The 25,653-nt window shown below is 41.8% G+C and overlaps 1 pseudogene across 1 annotated transcript in view, besides 1 other annotated feature; it reads right to left on the reverse strand.

Annotated features, from left to right (window-relative positions):
- NPEPPSP1 (NPEPPS pseudogene 1) overlaps positions 1-25,653 on the reverse strand; it is a 61,510-nt pseudogene that overhangs the window by 20,568 nt on the left and 15,289 nt on the right. The window contains exon 3 of the transcript NR_036750.2: positions 2,739-2,816. The product of NR_036750.2 is annotated as an NPEPPS pseudogene 1 (transcript). The remainder of the gene's footprint in view (positions 1-2,738; positions 2,817-25,653) is intronic.
- Positions 7,964-8,465: an enhancer, noted in NCBI's record as "H3K27ac hESC enhancer chr17:36380303-36380804 (GRCh37/hg19 assembly coordinates)". NCBI's record gives its function as "activates a minimal SCP1, AML or CMV promoter by ChIP-STARR-seq in naive H9 embryonic stem cells {active_cell/tissue: H9 hESC(naive)}" and the evidence as "EXISTENCE:reporter gene assay evidence [ECO:0000049][PMID:30033119]".

The raw sequence follows: 25,653 nt of genomic DNA on the forward strand, positions 1-25,653 counted from the left end.
ACTCCTGGGCTCAAGCAATCCTCCTGCCTCAGCCTCCAAAAATGCTGGGATTACAGGTGTGAGTCACCACGCCTGGCCATGCAGAAGTTTTAAATGTGTCTTTGTGGTCTAGCTTTCTCCCCATCCCTGAGCCTCTGCCCTCTGCCATGCATGATACAGAGAGTGGCTGCTCGCTGACTACTAGTCCTGGAAAGACAGTTGGGAGCCAAGTGGAGCCAGCAGAGTTGGTGATATGGCTGCATATGATCAGCAGTCCTCATGGCCCATGTGTAAAAAAGAAAGAAATCTCAGTGGTTATAAGCCACTGAGATTTGTGATCCTATCTGTGGGTTAAATTATATACATAAATTTATATATACATAGGAATATTTCTAGACAGATTCACCAGACAATGGAAGTAGAAGAAATCAGCGAAAGAATCTCCTTCCTTTTCAAATTATATTCTTCAATAGCTTTTAATACATGTTCATGGCAAAGCATTTTTTGTTTTGTTTTGTTTTGTTTTTTGGGACGGAGTCTCACTCTGCCACCCAGGCTGGAGTGCAGTGGTGCGATCTCGGCTCACTGCAAGCTCCACCTCCCGGGTTCACGCCATTCTCCTGCCTCAGCCTCCCGAGTAGCTGGGACTACAGGCACCTGCCACCATTCCCAGCTAATTTTTTGTATTTTTAGTAGAGACAGGGTTTCACCGTGTTAGTCAGGATGGTCTCGATCTCCTGACCTCGTGATCCGCCCGCCTCGGCCTCCCAAAGTGCTGGGATTACAGGCGTGAGCCACTACGCCCGGCCCATTTATTTTTATAATAATTACACATAAAGGGCCTCCAAGAGCACTGAAATAAAAGACTAAACATCTCCAATTTAAATTTTTTCTAAAAATAATTTTATATTAATTCAATAGATTCTCAGTAGGAAAATTGTGAAAATCAGACAAAAGATATAAATAAGAATAAAAATCACCAATTATGTCAACACCCAGACATAATTATCATTTTATTTGTGCCATTTAGAGACATGATTCACCACCTTAAATATGTAATTTTATATTCTTCTTTTCAATTTTACATTATAATAAGCACTTTACAGGGTTAAGAATTCGCAAACCTCACTTTTAATTGCTAAGTATATTTCACTATATAGATATATCATTCCTGGCTTGATCATTTCCTTAGTGTTGAACAAATATATTAATTATAATTTTTTACTACCGTAAGTAATATCTCAGACACTTCTGGGCATAAAGTATTTTCTGTATTTATGACTTTTCCTTGGGATATATTCCTATTAGCAGAATTGCTGGGTCAAAGGACATGAACATATTTAGGCTCTTGATATACTGCCAGAATGCTTTACAAAAAAATTACATGGATTTATACTCCCCCCAGCGATATCAAGGCAGCCATATCATTGGGAATTTTTAAAATTTCAGCTCACATGAGAAGCAAAAATTTCTCATTACTAGGAGGCTCAATATCTTTTCACATGTTTATTAGTCATTTACATTTTCTTCCTTTTGAATTATCTGTTCCTTTTCATTTGTTCATTCATCAAAGTCTTAGTACTTCACCAATTGATTGGTATATAATTTCTTCCACATATACTAAGCTCAGAAAGTCTATTTCTTTGTGCTTTTATACCTAACAATAGTAACATATCAACGTATCTTTCTTTCTGTGCCCTCAATAACACAATACCTATTTGATCTCTGGTTGTATATCAAAATCATCTGTGACCATTCACTTCAGGGATTTGGATTGAATTAATAGAAGATGGAGCTAGGTAAAAGTATTTTGTTCGTTTGTTTTAGACAGAGTCCCACTCTATCACCCAGGCTGGAGTGCAGTGGCATGATCTCGGTTCACTGCAACCTCCACTTCCTGACTTCTGGCGATTTTCTTGCCTCAGCCTTCTGAGTAGCTGGGATTATAGGGATGAGCCACCACACTGGGTAATTTTTGTATTTTTTGGTAGAGATGGGGTTTTGCCATGTTGGCCAGGCTGGTCCCTAACTCCTGGCTTCAAGTGATCAGCCCGCCTTGGCCTCCCAAAGCGCTAGGATTGCAGGTGTGAGCCACCACGCCTGGCCTAGGTAAAGGTATTTTTAAAAAGGTAAAACTGGAAAACAATACATTACATTCTAGGATAGAATGATCTTTAGTTTTTGTCCTGTTTTTCTTGGCTTGTTTGTTTAAAGAGAATATAGAGTGACAGGAGGTGGAAACCCTGCTTTTCGTAGCCCAACTTCCGCAGAAGGAAATGCTGGTGGCCCAAAAGTTGCAACAAACCTCTTTAAAAAGCTCTTAATACAGCTGGGCGCGGTGGCTCCTGCCTGTAATCCTACCACTTTGGGAGGCCAGGGCGGGCAGATCGCTTGAGATCAGGAGTTCAAGACCAGCCTGACCAGCCTGGCCAACATGGCGAAACCTTGTCTCTACTAAAAATACAAAAAAATTAGCCGGTGTGGTGGTAGGCACCTGTAATCCCAGCTACTCGGGAGGCCGAGGCAGGAGAATCACTCGAACCTGGAAGGTGGAGGTTGTAGTGAGCCAAGATCATGCCACTACTCTCCAGCCTGGGCAATAGAGTAAGACTCCGTCTCAAAGTAAAAAAAAAAAAAAGCTCTTAATACTTAATCTGCTAATAACAACGAGGGAAAAAATGGCATACAATAAATTTCTCTGGAGGAAGTCAGATGTCACTATATTCATCACGAGATTTTACAAAAGCTATGTCTCTTACCTGTTTGCAGAGTACTAGGGAAAGACAAGGTGACTTTTTCATCTTCATTCTGATAGTTAAATCCTGTAGCATGTATTTCTGGAATGAGAAAAAAAAATACTTCACAATTCTGACTGGACTGACAAGACGAAATCAAGACTGCAACATTTTCAAGAGCAAAATCTCTACAAAAACTAAATATTCTTAATTTGGTGAATTAAGTTCCTATTAGCAAGAGTTTCATTTCAAATGAGCCTATTCTAGGTTACATTAACTACATTAAATATGCTCCTTAAAAATAATTACAAATTCTTTAAAATTCACAAAACGTCAGTGATGTACAGGAAAGAAGGCTTTATAAATGTGATGCTTTTCTATCAGATTCCTGTGTGACTATGATATTGTGATATTGCAGTCTTACTCATGAACATTTGAGACTTGGCAACTTGCCAAGATTTCAGTGTTAAAGATACATCAAGGAAAGGTCTGTTCCCCAAAGGTAAGTAGCAATTCAAACTAAGATATAAATCATACCCACTTCTGGTAAAATTCTTTGTTGTGGCCAGGCGTGGTGGCTCACGCCTGTAATCCCAGCACTTTGGGAGGCCGAGGCAGGCGGGTCACCTGGGGTCAGGAGTTCAAGACCAGCCTGACCAACACGGAGAAACCCCGTCTCTACTAAAAATACAAAACTAGCCGGCTGTGGTGGTGCATGCCTATAATCTCAGCTACTTGGGAGGCTAAGGCAGGAGAATCGCTTGAACCCGGGAGGCAGAGGTTGCAGTGAGCCAAGATCGCATCATTGCACTCCAGCCTAAACAACAACAGAGAAACTCTGTCTCAAAAAAAAAAAATTATTTGTTGTTACATGAAAACAGGTATGCAAATTGAATTAAGGCTTTGACTTACTCTCTGCCAGGAATGAGAAGAGACTGCTTATTTGACTGATACTTTAGGATGCTTGGACATGTTAGGGAAATAACCAAAGACACCAACTTCCAACTATGTCCTATCCCCATTCCAAATGAAAAGCTGGCCAATCAGGCCGGACATGGTGGCTCACACCTATAATCCCAGCATTTTGGGAGGACGAGGCGTGTGGATCACCTGAGGTCAAGAGTTCGAGAACAGCCTGGCCAACATGGCGAAACCCCATTTTTACTAAAAATATAAAACTTAGCCAGGCATGGTGGCAAACGCCTCTAATCCCAGCTATGCGGGAGGCTGAGGCATGATAATTTAGAATTGCTTGAACTCAGGAGGCGGAGGTTGCAGTGAGCCGAGATTGTGCCACTGTACTCCAGCCTGGGCGACAGAGCGAGACTCTGTCTCAAAAAAAAGAAAAAAAAAAAAAAAGTATAAGGTAGGATGTAGAGAAACTGGAGCATATATTGATAGTGGGAATGTAAATGGTGCAGCCACTTTTGGAAAACAGTTTGGCAATTCCTCAAAAGGTTAAATACAGAGGTATCATGTGATACAGCAATCCCATTCCTAAGTATATGTCCAAGAGAAATGAAAACACATGTCCACATAATGTTTGTATACAAATGTTCATAGTAGCATTATTTATAATAATCCCAAAATGAAAACAACTCAAATGTCCATCAACTGATGGAATAGATAAAATGTGGTATATCCATACAACTGAATGTTATTTGACAGTAAAAAGAAATGAAATAGCTGACACATGCTACAACGTAAATAACCTTGAAAACATTATACTAAGAAACCAGCCACATATTTGTCCATAACAGGGCAATCTATGGAGGCTGAAAGTAGATTCATAGTTGCCTAGGGCTAGGTGATAGAGGGGAAATAGGCAGGGTACTTTCTTTCTGGAGTTCAGAAAGTGTTCTAAAATTGATTGTGATGATGGCTGTACAACTCTGTAAATAGACTAAAAACCGCTGAATTGTATGCTTTAAATATTAATAGATGACATGTATGGTATGTGAATTATACATCAATAAAGCTATTATTGAGGTGGGGAGAAAGGAAAGTACTACAGAAAGACAAGGGAGGAGAGGTGGCCATGAGTACCTTTATCAGTCACAGGATGCTGTGGGTAACAATGATTCAGATTACATAACATTTTACAGGCAAGATGCCCATAATTCTTCCTTTCTTTTATGAATCACCCAAATATAGGATTTCAAATGTTTCTGCTGTCACTATGGTTCACACATTTTTATAAAGCCAAAATCTCTACAAAACCAATTAAGAAACTGTAATTTCAGATTTTAAAAGAACTTTAATAAATCCTCTAATCAAATCTTCCTCATTTTACAGATGAAGAAAATGAGACATATAAAGTTAATGGTTTGTCACATGTTAACTAGCTAGACTACAACTCAGTTCCCTCACTTCTATTGCCAAAATTATTTCTACAATCACAAGCTAGCTCCTAAATTTGTTTGGTTTTGTTTTGTTTTTTGAGACAGGGTCTCACTTTGTTGCCCAGGCTGGAGTACAGTGGCACTATCTCAACTCACTGCTACCTTTCCCATCAGGTTCGGGAGATTCTCCCACCTCAGCCTCCGGGGTAGCTGGGGACTACAGGCGTGAGGTGCCACTAGGCCCATCTAATCTTTTGTATTTTTAGTAGAGACAGGGGTTTCCCCATGTTGTCCAGCCTGGTCTCAAACTCCTGGATTCAGGCAATCTACCCACCTCAGCCTCCCGAAGTGCTGGGATTACAGGGCTGAGCCACCGTGCCTGGCCCAGCTCCTAAATTTGAATAGAAATCAAATTTGACAAGAATCACTTCAATGCTTAAGAATGTTCCTTTCTGGGCTGGGCGCAGTGGCTCACGCCTGTAATCCCAGCACTTTGGGAGGCCGAGGTGGGTGGACCATGCGTGGTGGTGCATGCCTGTTATCTCAGCTACTTGGGAGGCTGAGGCAGGAGAATCACTTGAACCTGGGAACGGAGGTTGCAGTGAGCCAAGATGTGCCACTGCACTACAGCCTGGAGACAGAGTGAGACTCTGTATCAAAAAAAAAAAAACAAAAAACCTACAGCTGTTGAATAAAAAGGTAAACAACCCAATTTAAAAATGGCAAGACTTAAACTTCACAAAGGAAAATTTATAAATGGCAAAAAAAAAAAAAAGCACATAAAAAAGTGTTCAGCATCATTAGCCATTAAGGAAAGGCAAATTAAAATCACAATGACATATCACTACACATCCATTAGACTAGGCTATTAAATGACTGACAATAAAAATGTTGCCCAGGGCCAGGCATGGTGGCTCTTGCCTGGAATCCCAGCACTTTGGGAGGCCAAGGCAGGAGGATCACCTGAACCCAGGAGTTCAAAACCAACCTGGGCAACACAGGAAAAATAAAAAAAAAATTAGTCATACGTGGTGACACAAACCTGTGGTCCCAGCTACTCCAAAGGCTGAGGCAAGAGCATTGCTGAAGCCTAGGAGGTTGAAGCTGGAGTGAGCCATGAACATGCCACTGCACTCCCATCTAGGTGACAGAGTGAGACCCTGTCTCGAAAAAGAAAAAAAAATGTGCAGGGTGTAGCACAATAACTAGAAGTCATGCTGGTGGTGCCTCTTTTACTATTCAGACTGTAAGCATTTTCCAACCCCAGGGTTTCTGCATCTGCTTGCAAAGTCTCCAGATATCTAAACACTTTATGTCATTCAGGCCTCTGCTCAAATCACTTTTTTTTTTTTTTTTTGAGACAGGGTCTCACTCTGTTGCCCAACCTGGAGTACAGTGCTGCCATCTTGGCTCACTGCAACCTTGACCTCTCAGGTTCAAGTGTTCCTCCCACCTCAGCCTCCCAAATAGCTGGGACTACAGGCGCCCACCATCACACCCGACTAATTTTTGTATTTTTTATAGACATGGGGTTTCACCATGTTGCCCAGGCTGGCCTCAAACTCCCGAGCTCAAGCGATCCTCCTGCCTCAGCCTCCCAAAGTGCAGGGATTACAGGCATGAACCACCACACGAAGCCTCGAATCATCTTTTTTTTTTTTTGAGATGGAGTCTTGCTCTGTCGCCCAGGCTGGCATGCAGTGGCATGATCTTGGCTCACTGCAACCTCCGCCTCCCGGGTTCAAGCACTTCTGCCTCAGCCTCCCGAGTAGCTGGGACTACAGGCACGCACCACCACGCCTGGCTAATTTTTGTATCGCCTGGCTAATTTTTGTATTTTTAGTAGAGACGGAGTTTCAGCACGTTGGCCAGGATGGTCTCAGTCTCTTGACCTCATGATCCACCCGCCTCGGCCTCCCAAAGTGTTGGGATTACAGGTGTAAGCCACCACGCCCAGCCTCAAATCACTTCTTTAAAGATCTGTTCTATCAACTTGAAGAACAATCCTCATTCTATACCCTCTTGTGATTTTACAGCACTTATCACTACTTTACATCACATATTTGCTTGTTGCCTGTCTTCTCAAATATCAGAAATGTTGATGCTTGATTTTGTTCACAGCTCTACTTCCAATGCTAGCAGTTTCTGGCACATAGTGTGTGTTCAGTAAGTATCTGTAGAATGAATGAATCACTTCAAAAGCAACAGACTAAGTAATTATGTCATGGAGATCATTAATGCTACTCATATGAAATATATTAATGAAAAATCACATTTACTAATGTTATGTGAATAGAGACATGGCTAGGGATAAAATTTCCAGTCACAACATAATATACTGATTCAAATAAGGATCTATCTCAAACCTCTTAGAAGATAATATTTGCTCTGGAACTGTTAGATTGTTTAAAGGGTAGAAACCCATAAATACTGAAGATGCATATGAGAAGTCTGAGGAGGCTTCACTGGAGAAAAAAGTATTTCTAAATTAATGTTTACATTAATACTAATATATAATTAGTATATTTATATATTATAGTAATATATAATACTGATATGATAAATGAATAATTCATTCACTAATACAGTTTGCAATATATTCATAATTGGAAATGTATATATATGTAAATTAAGCATTGTACATAGACACTTCACTATATATCGTGTATCAATACAACTTAAACTTGATCGAAAACTTTTAAAAATGGAGTATGAGAGAATCTTATAAGGTATATATGATTATTCAATTCTCTAAGCCTCCGTTTCCACACCTATAAAATTAAAATCATATCATTACCTAATTCTTTCTTTTTAAAATTGAGATAAGGGTCTCACTATGTTGTTCAGGCTGGTCTCAAACTCCCGGGCTCAAGCACTGGCAATCCTCCCACCTCAGCCTCCTGAGTAGCTGAGATTATAGGAGTATACCATTGTGCCTGGCACCTGCTTCTTAATTAAAGATTGGGGGCCAGGCACGGTGGCTCACACCTGTAATCCCAGCACTTTGGGAGACCGAGGTGGGAGGATCACTTGAGGTCAGGAGTTTGAGTCCAGCCTGGCCAACATGGTAAAACTAAACATACAAAAATTAGCAGGGCATGGTGGCGTGCGCCTGTAATCCCAACTACTTGGGAGGCTGAGGCAGGAGAATCGCTTGAACCTGGGAGGTAGAGGCTGCAGTGAGCTGAGATCGCACCACTGCACTCAGTCTGGGCAACAGAGTGAGACTCCATCTCAAAGAAAAAAAAAATTATATAATATACTCTTATATAAAACACACAGCACAGTTCCTAGTTATTGTTAAGAAACACTTTTCAGGGCCGGGAGCAGTGGCTCACGCCTGTAATACCAGCACTTCTGGAGGCCAAGGAGGGCGGATCACGAGGTCAAGAGATCGAGACCATCCTGGCCAACATGGTGAAACCCCGTCTCTACTAAAAATACAAAAAATTAGCTGGGTGTGGTGGCACGTGCCTGTAGTCCCAGCTACCCAGGAGGCTGAGGCAGGAAAATGGCGTGAACTCGGGAGGCGGAGCTTGCAGTGAGCCGAGATCGTGCCACTGCACTCCAGCATGGGCAACAGAGCAAGACTCCATCTCAAAAAAAAAAAAGAATCACTTTTCTAGATCATAACACACCTTACAGTTCTTTATTGATCCAACTGCAATTGGTCCATTATATACATATATATAACAGCTTTTGCTGAAACTCCTTATTAGGCCTTTTAAATATAATTAGCATTTTAAAATCTATAAACATATATATTTGGGTATAAGCATCTATGTGTAAGTGTGTTAGTCATCTATTAAATAGAAGTAAAATTTGATTATAAACATAGCATGTATAAAACCATGACCAGGCTGGGCATGGTGGCTCATGCCTGTAATCCCAGGACTTTGGGAGGTCAAGATGGGCAGATCACCTGAGGTCAGGAGTCTGAGACCAGCCTGTCCAACATGGTGAAACTCCATTACTACTAAACATACAAAAATTAGCCAGGCGTGGTGGTGCACGCCTGTAATCCCAGCTACTCGGGAGGCTGAGGCAGGAGAATCGCTTGAAACGGGGAGGTGGAGGTTGCAGTGAGCTGAGATCACGCCACTGCACTCCAGCCTGGCTGAGAGAGCGAGACTCCGTCTCAAAAAAAAAAAAAAAAAAACAAACAACAAAAAAAACCATGGCATTATAAAATGACCATAAGCAAAATCAAAAGAGAAGTATATATTGGGGAAAAAATGCTCCAACTCATGATGGAAGGTTAATTTCACTCAAATATAAAGACCACGTTTTAAAAAATCAATAACAAGAATAAGAATAACACTGAAATTTAAAATGGACAAATATGAATAAATTACAGAAAAAGGAAACACAAATGGTTTTTAAAATATAATGAAGAGATTCTTTTTTTTTTTACAATTAACTAAACTTTTTTTAAAATTAACTAAAGTTGGTATTTCACTAGGACGATTTAGCAGATGAAATGGGTTTTAAGTTTAGAACACCATTTCTTCTTCCTTATTACATTTCCCTTTTTAATGTTAGCCCTCTACAAACACACACGTATATACACACACACACACACACACACTCTGCATCAAAAAAGCCTTCCTACATTAATACTTGAGCATGATAACCTTACAATGAAAGGTAAATCATTAGTTGAATCATGAAACATTTTCTTCCCCTTGTGGAGAAAAATCAAATTGCTTTTCCTCTGCTCTTACACCACAATCATCAACACAGTAGACTTCTGTGACCAAATGTGTGGGGATTTCTCCCCACCAACAAGAAGCAATCAGTTCTGCAGAAGATACCACCAGCTGAGCACCTTCTAATCCAATTCAATTCTCATGCTATCTACCTGGAGATAGCATTAGATCCCACAGGCTGAGAGAGGGCTCAGTCTCACAAGACTGCCCCCACTTCAGACACTAGTTGTAAGGCCAGGCCTCATCCAGAACTTCTGGCCAACCAGCTTCAAGTCAGTGTTCCCATGACCCCCTTCTTAGGTTTGATTAATTTGCTAAAGCTGTGCCCAGAACTCAGGAAAACACGTGTACTGGTTTATTATAAAGAATAGCACAAAGAATGCAGATGAAGAGGTGCACAGAACAAGGCATGTGGGAAGGGGTGCAGAGCTCTCATACCCTCCCTGGGTGCACCACCCTCCAGGACCCTCCACGTGTTCAGCTATCTGGAAGCTCTCTGTACCCGGTCCAGGACTTCACTGGACCGTCACGACTGAAGCATGGACAACCGGGTAGAAATATGATTGGACAAAGTAGGACCTAATGCTAACAGACTGAGTGGGGAAACCTAGCAAGGCCTCTCTGTTCAGAGTCTTCTTGGCCTCTCTGTGCAACTTCTTTCCTCCCAAGTACAGGGCAGGATGCCTTCTGAAATGGGGGTCTTATGACCTCCAATCAGACAAGGTAGGTCAGATAATTTCTTTGCTGTCAGCTCCAAGACAGAATGTTGGGGGATGATCAGAGTATATTTTTAGTTTCTATTGCCTGCTTGGGGAGAAAAAGGAGCAGGTAAAAGCAAGGCAAGAAAAGGTCAGAGAGCGATTCTGTTTTCTGAAGCCTGCTTCTGAGGTTTAAAGTGCCCCAACGTTATTACAAAAGACCATCTTTCACTTTTATTGATCTGAAGCTGTACTGAAGCCACTTCAAAAACCAAGAATAAAAGGCCAAATATTTCAATAAAATATATGTATATTGTTTTAGTCACTTAGGAAATAACAGGGACTATGGGTGTTCTATGACAGAAACTGTGGATGAAAACCAACATATGTATCATAATATCATAGCACCCTCCCCAACCTTTTTTTTTTTTTTTTTTTTTTTTGTTTGAGACAGGGTCTCACTGCATTGCGTAGGCTTGTCTTGAACTCCTGGGCTCAAGCAATCCTTGTGCCTTGGCCTCCCAAAATGCTGGGATTGCAGGCATGAGCCACTGTGCCAGGCCCCCTTTATGTCTATACATAATAAAACTTAATCACATAAAAGGAGGTATAGGGAAAATGAGAAGTACAAGATGGTATTTCAAGAGGCAACATTAAAAAAAGATTGAAATTTTTTAAAATAGCTGAAATCATTATTGCTTATACCATCTATACAAGCATCTAGTGGATTCTGCCTAGGCATTACATTGAGATACAGAAATAAAATCTTCTAAAATTTCAATATCAGAAGTGCCAAGTCAACTGTACTTCAAATTTTCCTTTACAAATTATCTATTTGAAACTCAGAATGTATTTTCCTCCAAGCCACTGCTATACTTAAACAAGTAATCTAAACCACATAATTCTATATAGCCCACATATACCAGTGTAGCTCAGTACTAGATCAAACACATTGTGAGGTTTTATTTTGTTTTTTTATTCAGATAGCAACTTCCCTATCATATTGTTTATGTGGTTTTAGAAAGCAGTTCAGGTGCAAAAAAATAAAGTTCACAGTTCAAAGAAGGCCTACAGTGACTACCTGCTACTTGGAACATACTTTGTTTCTCCACAAAGCTGAAAATAATGTTGCAATGGGAAAGAAAACACATCATTCTGGAGGATATCCAAGGGGGATTCAAGTGAAAAATGGAACCAAGAACTTACTTTGCAAAGCTTCAAGGTGACCTCCTTCTCACCGTAGGGCATAAAAGCCAATCAGATATATGCATAGTTACAGTTCAAGCAGTACCTATACTGACAGGTCCCATATTTTCAAATGGATTTCACATTTATATAACATAGTGATGGTTCTATCCTATTAGGCTATCTAAAAAGTCTAAAAAGAATGAGCATGTGCCAAATATAAATCTGGTTCAACAGAATCAAAAAATTCCTTCTAGGGTGCCCCTGCTCTTAATAAATGACTGTGAACTATTTCATTAAAATCACTCAGGATTCTGGACCAGGATTTCCATTGATTATGTGGTCTTACACGGTTACTTAATTTGTCTAGGTCTCAGTTTATCTTTTTTTTTTTTAAAGGAGTTTATATTTGGGTAATAGAGGAGTATATAATTCAAACTAATTATCTCTCTCCTACTTGACACCCACAAAACTAAAAAAGCTGGAAGGAAGGGAAAACTTCTCCTTAAAAGAATCATAGAACAAGATAAGGTGATCAAGATGAAGAAGAGGATGAAATTCCATAAAGAGGAAGCTTTGCATTCTAGGCCACTTTTGCTCTGGGGTCATTTGCTGATCTAGCAGAGATGTAGCAGATTTGGAAGCTGAGGCTATAGGCCCCAGGGACAAAAGTGGAAATCCAGGGCCCATCAACACTGGGGGCTTTGTGGCTGGGTGGGCACTGTGTCTGTAATCCCAGCATTTTGGGAGGCGAGGTGGAAGGACTGCTTAAGCCCAGGAGTTTAAGTAACATAGTCTATCTAGGTAGCACAGTGAGACTCTATCTCTATTAGAAGAGACAAGACAAGACAAGACAAGAAGCTTGAGTAAATGACCCCCTCCTTTGGGCTTGAAACCAAAAAAGTGATATCCTACCAGGAAAGATGAACAAGAAGAAAAGCAGTCCACAAGTGGAATGTGATTAAACTTCTGAACATCTGAAGCCCAGACACTGGAAAAAGATGAACCTTAAGTATTAGTAACCAACGGGGAACAAAACAAAGCTCCCCTAGATACTAGCAAACTATTCATATACCTGCTTACTATGTTCAAAAATATAAAATCCCAATCCTGAAAAATTTGGCAAGTAACGCGAAGTTACTTTAAAAAAACAAACAAACAAACAAAACCCCCAAAAAAACCCAAAACCAAGCAAAACAAAGAAAACAAGCAAATCTGGAAAAATTAATTCTAGAACAAAAATATGTAATAAGAAAAAACAGGCCAGGCACGGTGTCTCATGCCTGTAATCCCAACACTTTGGGAGGCTGAGGTGAGAGAATCCCTTGAAGCCAGGAGTTCGAGACCAGCCTAGGCAACAAAGCAAGACCCCATCTCTACTAAAAAAAATTAGCCAGGCACCTTGGTAGCGTATATCTGTAGTTCCAGCTACTCAGGAGGCTGAGGTGGGAAGATCACTTGAGTTCAGGAGTTTGAGGTTGCAGTAAGCTGCGATTCTGTCACTGCACTCTGGCCTGGGTGACAGAGCAAGACCCTGTCTTTTTTTTTTTTCCCTCTTTTTTGAGATGGAGTCTCGCTCTGTTGTCCAGGCTGGAATGCAATGGCGCAATCTCGGTTCACTGCAACCTCCGTCCGCCTCCCGGGTTCAAGCAATTCTCCTGCCTCAGCCTCTCAGGTAGGGGGGACTACAGGCATGCGCCACCACGCCCGGCTAATTTTTTGTATTTTTAGTAGAGACAGGGTTTCACCATGTTAGCCAGGATGGTCTCGATCTCCTGACCTTGTGATCCACCCACCTCGGCCTCCCAAAGTGCTGGGATTACAAGCGTCAGCCACCACACCCAACCGCAAGACCCTATCTTAACAAAAAAAGAGGCCGGGCATGGTGGCTCACGCCTAGAATACCAGCACTTCGGGAGGCCAAAGCAGGCAGATCACCTGAGGACAGGAGTTCAAGACCAGCTTGGCCAACATGGTGAAACCCCGTCTCTACAAAAACACAAAAATTAGCCAGGCGTGGTGGCAGGCGCATGTAATCCCAGCTACTTGGGAGGCTGAAACAGGAGAATCGCTTGAACCCAGGAGGCAAAGACTGCAGTGAACCGAGATCTAGCCACTGCACTCCAGCATGGGTGACAGAGCGAGACTCCGTCTCAAAAAAAAAAGTGGGGGGTGGGCCAGGTGTGGTGGCTCATGCCTGTAATCCCAGCACTTTGGAGGCTGAGGCATGTGGATCACTTGAGGTCAGGAGCTCAAGACCAGCCTGGCCAACGTGGTGAAACCCCATCTCTACTAAAAATAGAAAAAATTAGCCAGGAATGGTGGCACAAGCCTGTAATCCCAGCTATTTGGGAGGCTGAGGCAGGAGAACTGCTTGAACCTGGGAGGCAGAGGTTGCAGTGAGCCGAGATCACACCACTACACCCCAGCCTGGGCAGCAGAGCGAGACTCCATCTCTAAATAAATAAATAAAAATTAATTAATTAATACAAATAAAAACCCACAAAAATGAGCCAGGTGTGGTGGCGTACACCTGAAGTCCCAGCTACTCGGGAGGCTGAGGCACAAGAATTGCTTTAAGCCGGGAGGTGGAGGTAGCAGTAAGTTGAGATAGAGCCACTGTACCCCAGCCTGGGTGACAGAGACTCTGTACAAAAAAAAAATAACACGGAATCAAATCATAATTGCCTGGGGAAGGAGCAAGGAAAAGGGGAGAAAAGGATTATAAAGGGGCATGAGGAAATGTTCTAGGGTGATGAATATGCTCATTACCTGGTTACATTCATGAGAAAACTTATCAAATTACATATTTTAAGATGTACCCTTTATAGTATGTCAACATTACAGGTACTCTCACAAAGCTATCAACAAAAATAGGAAAGAAGCAGCAGCAAGCAACAACAGCCATAACTACTGCCTGGAGAATTTCCCCCAAAACAAACAAACCAAAAAAAGTGTGGGCTGCAGCTAAAAGCAGTACATTTTTAGGATTAAAATTTATATTTAAATGAATATAATAGAAAGAAGGACTGAAAAGTAATAAGCCAAACATCCATCTCAAGACTTCTGTTTGTTTTTTGTTTTTTTTTAAGGGCAGTCAAGTGAAGCAGTGGGAGTGAAGGAGGAATAAAGAAATCTGTAACTGGCTATGATTGATGAGTTATAAACACCACTGCACTGGGACCAGCCTAAAGAAGTTTTTTTAAATCTGCAAAGTAGACCGGGCACGGTAGCGGTGGCTCACACCTGTAATCCCAGCACTTTGGGAGGCCAAGGCGAACCGATCACTTGAGGTCAGGAGTTTGAGACCAGCCTGACCAACATGGTAAAACTCCGCCTCTACTAAAAATACAAAAATTAGCTGGGTGTGGTGGCACATGCCTTTAATCCTAGCTATCAGGAGGCTGAGGCATAAGAATCACTTGAAACCAGAAGGCAGGGATTGCAGTGAGCCAAGATCACGCCACTGCACTCCAGCCTGCGTGACAGAGTAAGACTCCGTCTCAAAAATAAAAAAAAAAAACCTTGCAAAGTAAACCCAAAGGAAGCAGAAGTTAATAAGGAAATAATAGTTAACTGAGGTCTACAAAGCAATGGTTAGTTCTTTGAGAAAAAAAGCAAGAAAACTGAAAAAGATCTGGGATCAAGAAAAAAGTAAAACAGGCTGGGTGCGGTGGCTCATGCCTGTAATCCCAGCACTTTGGGAGACCACGGCAGGTGGATCACAAGGTCAGGAGTTCGAGACCAGCCTGGCCAACATGGGAAACCCCATCTCTACTAAAAATACAAAAATTAGCCGGGCGTGGTGGCCTGCGTCTGTAGTCCCAGCTACTTGGGAGGCAGAGGCAAGAGAACTGCTTGAACCCGGGAGGCAGAGGTTGTAGTGAGCCGAGGTCACGCCAGCACAAGACTCCATTTCAAAAAAAAAAAAAAAGTAAAACAGAAGGCACAAATAAATAAAATGAGCCCTGACTACTACCTAACTTCCCTTCTAATTCTATTAACTTGAAACTATAGCAGAGCTTCCCTAACTGTGGCAGATCCAAACATGTATTACAGGTTTATCAAGATAATAATTCCCTTGGCCCTTGGACCAGCCTGGTAGGCCTAGAGCAATGAAAGATCTCTGATACCCTCCAGTTGTGAGCCTCCTCTTCCTTATGTACCAGGAAAACATCAGTTTCTACTAATGCCTTGAAAAAAAGTAAGGAAGCATTGATGTGGAGAACAACTAACTCTTCCAGCTTCACACTTAAGAACAGCATACATGGCCGGGCGCGGCGGCTTGTGCCTGTAATCCCAGCACTGCGGGAGGCTGAGGCAGGCGGATCACCTGTGGTCGGAGGTTCGAGACCAGCCTGACCAACATGGATAAACTCCATCTCTACTAAAAATACAAAATTAGCCGGCTGTGGTGGTGCATGCCTGTAATCCCAGCTACTCAGGAGGCTGAGGCAGGAGAATCACTTGAACCCGGGAGGCTGAGGTTACGGCGAGCCGAAATCATGCCATTGCACTCCAGCCTGGGCAATAAGAGCGAAACTCCATCTCAAAAAAAAAAAAAAAAGAACAGCATACACTACAATGTTACTAACATTATGCAATCAGTGTTTTCTCTACATTTAATGCAAAAACTACATAATTTACAGCAGTTTTTTATGCTCTCCATTTTCTTAATATTTAAAATACTGTAAAGAATCTTTACAATTAGTAAGTATCTTGATGGTAGTCCTCAAAGGGAAGTAAAATACAAGTTAAAGCTGGTAACAAAATAATCTCAAATACGAAATAATTTTGTTACCCATAAAGTTACTAGGATAGAGCACATGAAGAAATGCAGACCTGACAAGTCCCCCTTATCTGCAGTTTCACTTTCCACAGTTTCAATTGCCTAGAGTCAACTACAGTCTGAAAATATTAAATGGAAAATTCCAGAAACAAACAATTCATAAGTTTTAAACTGTACTGTTCTGAATAGTGTGATGAAATCTTGTGCCCTCCCATTCCATTCTGCCCAGAACATGAATCATCCCTTTCTCCGACCTATCCATGCTGTATATATATGCCACCCAGCCCATTAGTCACATAGTAGCCATCTCAGTTATCAGATTGACTGTCAATGTATCACAAGGCTTGTGTTTAAGTAACCTTTATTGTACTTAATAATGGCCTCAAAGCACAAGAGTAGTGATGCTAGCAGTTTGGAAATGTCAAAGAAGAAGAGTGAGTATAATACAATAAGATACTATAAGAGAGGCTGGGCACAGTGGCTCATGCCTGTAATCCTGGCACTTTGGGAGGCTGAGGCAGGAGGATCGCTTGAAGCCAGGAGTTCAAGACCAACTTCAGCAATAAAGCCAGACCTGACTCACAAAAAATTTTTACAAATTTGCTGGGTGTGTTGGTGCATACCTATAGTCCTAGCTAACTGGGAGGCTGAAGCAGGAGGATCACTTGAGCCCAGCAGTTTGAGGCTGCAGTGAGATATGATGGCACCACTGCACTCCAACCTGGGCAACAGAGACTCTGCCTCTAAAAATAAATAAATGAAATAATTTTTTTTAAAAAGAAGATATTGGCTGGGCGCGGTGGCTCATGCCTGTAATCCCAACACTTTACGAGGCTGAGGGGGGAAGATCACCTGAGGTCAGGAGTTTGAGACCAGGCTGACCAACATGGAGAAACCCTGTCCCTACTAAAAATACAAAATTAGCCAGGCGTGGTGGCGCATGCCTGTAATCCCAGCTACTTGGGAGGCTGAGGCAGGAGACTTGCTTAAACCCGGGAGGCAGTGGTTGCAGTGAGCCGAGATCACACCATCGCACTCCAGCCTGGGCAACAAGAGTGAAACTGCATCTCAAAAAAAAAAAAAGATATTGTGGCTCACACCTGTAATCCCAGCACTTTGGGAGGCCGAGGCGGGCAGATCACGAGGTCAGAAGATGGAGACCATTCTGGCTAACACGGTGAAACCCCGTCTCTACTAAAAACACAAAAAATTAGCCGGGTGTGGTGGCATGCGCCTGTAGTCCCAGCTACTCAGGAGGCTGAGGCAGGAGAATCGCTTGAACCTGGGAGGCAGAGATTGCAGTGAGCTGAGATCGCACCATTGCACTCCAGCCTGGGCGACAGAGCAAAGTCTCAAAAAAAAGAAAAGAGAGAGAGATGCACACAACATTCATGTAACTTTTATTACAGTATATTGTTATAATGGTTCTATTTTTTATTAGCTTTTGTTAATTTCTTACTATTTCTAATGTAAAAATTAAACTTTATCATAGTACATATGTATAGGGAAAAACATAGCATATATAAGTTTTGCTACTATCTGTGGTTTCAGGCGTACCATTGGGGGTCTTAGAACACATCTGCCATAGATAAGGAGGAACTACTGTATGACAGACTTACTCCATTTATCTAGATTTTCTTCGTTTCATTCAATGTATATTTATTAAATCCCTACTATATGTCAGATACCAGGGAAAACCACAAATGAAAAAGAATGAATCATAATTACTGGATCTTTTTTTTTTTTTTTTTGAGTAGAAGTCTCTTGTCCCCCAGGCTGGAGTGCAATGGCGTGATCTTGGCTCACTGCAACCTCTGCCTCCCAGGTTCAAGCAATTCTCCCACCTCAGCCTCCCGAGTAGCTAGGATTACAGGCGCCTACCACCACACCCAGCTAATTTTTGTACTTTTTTTTTTAGTAGAGACGAGGTTTCACCATGTTGGCCAGGCTGGTCTTGAACTCCTGACCCTAGGTGAGCCGCCCGCCTCGGCCTCCCGAAGTGCTGGGATTACAGCCATGAGCTACCATGCCCGGCCCCTCAAGGATCTTAAGATTCCATTGAAAAGTAGTACAGACATGACACAAACAAATAATTGCAATATGGTGTGGTTACATTAATGACAAGCAATAGAGTGGCAAGTACATGGACCCTAGATCCAAACCGCCTGGGTTTGAATCCTGGCTCTAACATTTATCAGTTTTATTACCTAAAGTAGATACCCTCTCTGTGCCTACGGTTGTTCTCTATATGAACAGGTAATGCACTTAGTGCCTGGTATAGAGTAAACACTAAACTCATCATTATTTTTATAATTATCACTATTAAACATTATATTATGAAAAATGTTTCACTTGGTTAGGCACCTAACCTGAACTGGAGGTTAAAAAGAAGATAAAACGTTCCCTCTATAGTCAGCAATAAGCCAACTAAATTCCTAAAACAGCAGTCACTAAAGCAATCCATATCACCTTAAGGCTATTTAAATAACGTTTTAAAACTTACCAAGTATAACTAAGACAAAATTTAAAACTATTCTACGCTCATATACTTTGTATATAGCCATATGGAAACCTACACAGGTTCTTTATCAGACAGCCCCTCAATATTATTCAAAACCAACAAATGTAAAAATGAAAGAATGCAAATACACTGCAAACTTCATGTTCTTTATCTCTGATTTGCACTAAAAAGGAATAAAGGGGCTGGCTAACTATCACTTGCTCCTTCTAATGCTGACATTTATTTGGCTCCAGTTTGAACTAATGATACTTAAGGGTTGTTTATTTGAGAATGGATCTATCCTGCATAGAAACCAGAATATACTTCACAGATAAGCATAGAAATCCAAACAAGGGCCAGGCACAGTGGCTCATATCTGTAATCCCAGCACTTTGGGAAGCTGAGGTAGGAGGACTGCTTGAGTCTTGGAGTCTGAGACCAGCCTGGGGAACATTGCAAAACCCCATCTCTACAAAAATTAAAAAATTAGCCAGGTGTGGTGGCACATGCCTGCCATCCCAGCTCTCCGGGAGGCTGTGGTGGGAGAGTAACTTGAGCCCAGGAGGCTGCAGTAAGCCATGACTGTGCCACTGCATTCCAGCCTGGATGACAGAGAAAGACCTGTCTCAAAAAAAAAAAAAAAAAAAAGAAATCCCAACAAACAAGATCAGAAATTAGAAACTTAAGACTTTTGTCTTAATGTTAACACTATATAAACTCTTCCTCTTTGAAAAATATGCCCTCTGTTTGTCACTATTGTCTTGGCAATTCGTTATACTTTCTCACAAGCAAAGAAACCTATTTCAGACTTGCGTTCACACTTATCAAACTATCACTTAAACAGAGTATTTAAGGTCTGGTGCAGTGGTTCACACCTGTAATCCCAGCACTTTGGGAGGCCAAGGTGGGCGTCAACAGTTTGAGAGCAGCCTGGCCAAAATGGGGAAACCCCATCTCTACAAAAATTTAAAAATTAGCCAGGTTTGGTGGCACACACCTGTAATCCCAGCGACTTGGGAGGCTGAGGCACAAGAATCGCTTCAACCCAGGAGACGGAGGCTGTAGTGAGCCGAGATAGTGCCACTGCACTCCAGCCTGGGCAATAAGAGTGAGACTCTATCTCAAATAATAATAATAATATTTAATAAAAACTCTTTGAATGACACAAATTACCACTTAGGCAAAAAGAACCTTGGTATTTACAGGGGTAAAAAGTTCAAATAAATAATAAACTTCATTTATTATTATATATAAGCCAAGGGAATTTATTATATGCAAGGGAATCACTGTTCAGACAATGAGCTGAGGGGCCAGAATTTGTGAGACAGAAGGGGTCCTTTTCACACAATATTTACTTGAAGTTTCACAATAATCAAAGGTATCTGCTTTTAGCCCAGTTATTCATGTATACACATCAACAAGATTTAAATTAACCAAAATGTTAAATGTTTATTAAGCTGCCACCATATAATGTAGGTTTTGGAACTAGTATTTAAATGGAAGAGTATATCTTCAGAGTAAAGTTCCATTGAGAAATAGAAAAGTCTGTAAAACCAGGTCTCGTCTTATAACAAGAAACTGATACTGACTTCTGTAACAAAGCTAAATAGTCTCTTGATGTGTAGTTGGCACAATTCCAGAAATCTAAACTACTAGCAAATTTGCTTATATCTGGTATAACTGGGCCGGGCGTGGTGGCTCATGCCTGTAATCCCAGCACTTTGGGAGGCCGAGGTAGGTGGATCACCTGAGGTCTCGAGTTCGAGACCAGGCTGGCCAACATGGTGAAACCCTGTCTCTACTAAAAATACAAAAATTAGCTGGGCGTGGTGGTGCACACCTGTGATCCCAGCTACTCGGGAGGCTGAGGCAGGAGAATTGCTTGAACCTGGGAGGCAGAGGTTGCAGTGAGCAAGATCATGCCATTGCACTCCAGCCTGGGCAACAAGAGTGAAACTCTGTCTCAAAAAAAAAAAACAAAAAAACATATATATATATATATCTGGTATAACTGTTACTATATCTAAAGAAAGGGATGAGAAACAAACCTTTAATTTCTACTTGAAATGATTTTTCATTTTTGCAAAGAGAAAAGGGTACATAACTAATATCCAAACAGAGTTAATAAAAGCCTATTAAGGATTATTTTAAAACAAGTTCTTTAAAAAAAAAAAAAAAAAGTTCTACTAGTTGCAGTGAGCCGATACTGCGCCACTGTACTCCAGCCTGGGCAATACAGCAAGACTCCATCTCAAAAAAAAAAAAAAAAAAAAAACAGACACATGCTCATAGGTCTTTTAGGATGACTGCACATATCACAAAAAAATGGCCTTTTTCTTCAAATAAAAACTTACACAAAGAAGCAACAATTGGCCAGGCACGGTGGCTCACACCTTTAATCCCAGCACTTTGGGAGGCCGAGGCGGGCGGATCACAAGGTCAGGAGATCGAGACCATCCTGGCTAATACGGTAAAATCCCGTCTCTACTAAAAATACAAAAATTAGCTGGGCGTGGCGGCGTGCGCCTGTAGCCCCAGCTGCTGGGGAGGCTGAGGCAGGAGAATGGCGTGAACCCGGGAGGCAGAGCTTGCAGTGAGCCGAGACTGCGCCACTGCACTCCAGCCTGGGCGACAGAGTGAAGACTCCATCTCAAAAAGAAAAAAAAAAAAATTAAAAGAAGCAACAATTTCATGCCTTAAAAGTAATTTTCTGATTTTACTTTTATCTTCTTTTTTTATTACATATATATATACACACACACACACACACACACACACACACACACACACACACATACATACATGTGGAAGCCCAAATCTATCCCTGTTCCCAATCCAAACTATTTTTTTTTTTTTTGAGACAGAGTCTTGCTCTGTCGCCCAGGCTGGCGTGCAGTGGCACAATCTCCGCTCACTGCAACTTCCACCTCCCGGGTTCAGGCGATTCTCCTGCCTTCAGCATCCCAAGTAGCTGGAATTACAGGTGCCTGCCACCACGCCCAGCTAATTTTTGTGTTTTTAGTAGAGACGGTGTTTCACCATGTTGGCCAGGCTGTTCTCAAACTCCTGACCACAGGTGATCCGCCCACCTAGCCCTCCCAAAATGCTAGGATTATAGGTGTGAGCCACCACACCTGGCTGCCCCCAATTCAAACTTTAACAACTCATACAACTTCCCATTCTCTTAAACTCTAAAATTACATGGGCTTACACATGACTTCAGGTTTTTTCCTGTTGCTGTGGTAGAAAAGTGTTGAGAAATGTACCTTAGCTAGTTCTGAAGGAAAATATTTTTTTTTTGAGACAGAGTCTCTGTCACCCAGGCTGGCGTGCAGTGGCACGATCCTGGCTCACTGCAACCTCTGCCTCCTGGGTTCAAGCAATTCTCTGCCTCAGCCTCCTGAGTAGCTGGGATTACAGGCACCCGCCACCACACCCAGCTAATTTTTTTATTTTTAGTAGAGATGGGGTTTCACCATCTTCGCCAGGCTGGTCTTGAACTTCTGACGTCATGATCCACCCACCACAGCCTCCCAAAGTACTGGGATTACAGGCGTGAGCCACTGCACCCAGCACTGAATATATATTATGTATCTAAAATAATTTAATGTTTTATCAGAATCTCTCTTCAAATCTTCTTTTCCATTAAGTTTTCATTTCTCTCCTGACTCTCTTAATAAGAACACTAACTGGGCTTCCGTGAGATACAGATCATTATGAGCTTAGCAACATTCGGTTACACATATTCAAAACTTTTCAGTCAGGTCGGGCGCGGTGGCTCACGCCTGTAATCCCAACACTTTGGGAGGCTGAGGCGGGTGGATCACGAGGCCAGGAGTTCAAGACCAGCCTAACAAACATGGTGAAACCCCATCTCTACTAAAAATACAAAAATTAGCCGGGTGTGGTGGCACACGCCTGTAATCCCAGCTACTCAGGAGGCTGAGGCAGAAGAATTGCTTGAACCCCAGAGGTGGAGGTTGCAGCAAGCTGAGATCGTTGGGCGACAGAGCTAGACTCCATCTCAAAAAAAAAAAAAAAGAACTTTTCAGTCACCTGAATTCTATCCCGACATTTTTAGTACAGGAAGATAAAAAACAAACTTGAGCTGAAACCATGCCAGCTGGAAGGTACACATTTATATTACTAGATCTACCTATCTACATACCACTTTAAAACCACACATCGAATTTAAACATTCTCTACCTGCAACAAAGAAAGCCTTGTTGCTTTGATATACCTGGCTAAAGTACTTCTATTTTTCTCCACAGTTAAAGAAATTAAATAATCACTCTTTCATTTACCAGACAATTTTTTAAAAGTGGCACTCATTCAAGTCCATTTGAAGAATCTGTTCTTCCAGCAGTTTGATCTAATTTACAATCAATTGAACTTAAGTACTTCTTCGGAACAGTATGTTCAACTGCTACTACTTTGACTTTCTATAGACAAAATAGTTTAAGAAAAAATCATAAATGTTATGAGGCCTTAAAATGAAACTTCTTTTCAGTATAATGTAAAGGAGAGAGGAAATCAAAATATAAAATGTAAGTTAAAAGATCAAATGTGTAAATTATTTTATTTTATTTATTTTTTTATTTTTTTTTTTGAGACGGAGTCTCGCTCTGTCGCCCAGGCTGGAGTGCGGTGGCGCGATCTCGGCTCACTGCAAGCTCCGCCTCCCGGGTTCACGCCATTCTCCTGCCTCAACCTCCCGAGTAGCTGGGACCACAGGCGCCCGCCACCACGCCAGGCTAATTTTTTGTATTTTTAGTAGAGACAGGGTTTCGCCGAGTTAGCCAGGATGGTCTCTATCTCCTGACCTTGTGATCCGCCCACCTGGGCCTCCCAAAGTGCTGGGATTACAGGCGTGAGCCACTGCGCCCGGCCTTAAATTATTTTTTATTAAAGAAGTCTCAGAGTAACCAATAACCATTTTGACAAGGAATGTCTAGGTGAAATCAAAAGTAAAAAGGCAACCAGGTGTGGTGGCTCTTGCCTGTAATCCCAGCAACCTGCGAGGCCGAAGAGGTCGGATCCCTTGAGCCCAGGAGTTCAAGACCAGCCTGGGCAATATAGGAAGACCCCCCCCATATCTATAAAAAAATACAAATACGAATATTAGCCAGGCATGGTGGTACACGCCTGTAATATCAGCTACTTGGGAGGGTGAGGTGGGAGGATGGCTTGAGACCAGGAGACAGAGGTTGTGGTAGTTGAGATCATGCCACTGCCCCCCAGCCTGGGTGACAGAGCGAGACTCTCTCAAAAAAAAAAAAGTAAAAAGCAATCCAGCTCCAATACTGATGTACTTGTAAGAGTTTATGCCAAACTTGGTATCTATTTAAAAATCAGCTCATACGGGAATAAGATTTCCAGTCAAAACGGACTACTTTCATACTAAAATTATAAGGTCTAAAACAGTTCTCGGCCGGGCGCGGTGGCTCACGCCTGTAATCCCAGCACTTTGGGAGGCCGAAGCGGGTGGATCACGAGGTCAGGAGATCAAGACCATCCTGGCTAACACGGTGAAACCCCGTCTCTACTAAAAATACAAAAAAATTAGCCAGGCGTGGTGGCGGGAGCCTGTAGTCCCAGCTACTCCGGAGGGTGACGCAGGAGAATGGCGTGAACCCGGGAGGCGGAGCTTGCAGTGAGCCGAGATCGCGCCACTGCACTCCAGGCTGGGGGACAGAGCGAGACCCCGTCTCAAAAAAAAATAAAAAATAAAATAAAATAAAATAAAATAAAACAGTTCTCATTTTATAGACACTAATCGAGTTCCACATTCTATACCATGTTTCTTTTTAGCATGTTCTTCCCCTGTAACTAACTCCATTATTTAGCTTCTAATCTTCATATTGTCTCATAAAGCAAATGTTTTTCTCTGAATTAGGAGTATGACTTATCTCAATTTTAAACTATAGTACAAAAAGAAAAAAAAACTTTAAGAAAAACATAAAAACGAAGCCTCTTTGAGGAGCCTTTCATGTTCAAAGTACTTAATTTTTCAAATAACTCATCAGCTTTATTATGCGTATTATATTCATTTTATACTTATGAAAATATGATTTCCCTAGTACCACAAAATAAGTTAATCTTGGAAGTGGAATTTTAATTGTGACATTTGCCCGGGTGTGGTGGCTCACATCTGTAATCCCAGCACTTTGGGAGGCATGCAGATCACCTGAGATCAGGAGTTCAAGACCAGCCTGGCCAACATAGCAAAACCCTGTCTCTACTAAAAATACAAAAATTAGCTAGGTATGATGGTGGACACCTGTAATCTCAGCCACTCAGGAGGCTGAGGCAGGGAGAACTGCTTGAACTCACGAGGCAGAGATAGCAGTGAGCTTAGATGATGCCACTGCACTCCAGCCTGGGCATCAGAGCAAGACTCTGTCTCAAAAAAAATAAAAATAAAAATAAATTTAAAAGTAAAATAAATTGTGACATTTATTTCACAATACTGTTAGGTTATAATATTCAATATTTCCCATAAACATTTTACCCTTTTTCTTTTTCTTTTTTTGAGTCAGGGTCTCACTCTGTCGCACAGGCTGGAGTGCAGCGGCGCAGTCATGGCTCACTGCAGCCTCGGCCACCTGGGCTCAATAGATCCTCCCACCTCAGCCTCCCAAATAGCTGGGACTACAGGCACGCACCACTATGCCTAGCTAATATTTTTGTTTGTTTGTTTGTTTTTGTTTCGCCAT

Source organism: Homo sapiens, chromosome 17 (assembly GCF_000001405.40).
Source record: "Homo sapiens chromosome 17, GRCh38.p14 Primary Assembly".
In the NCBI taxonomy this organism is placed as follows: Eukaryota; Metazoa; Chordata; class Mammalia; order Primates; family Hominidae; genus Homo; species Homo sapiens.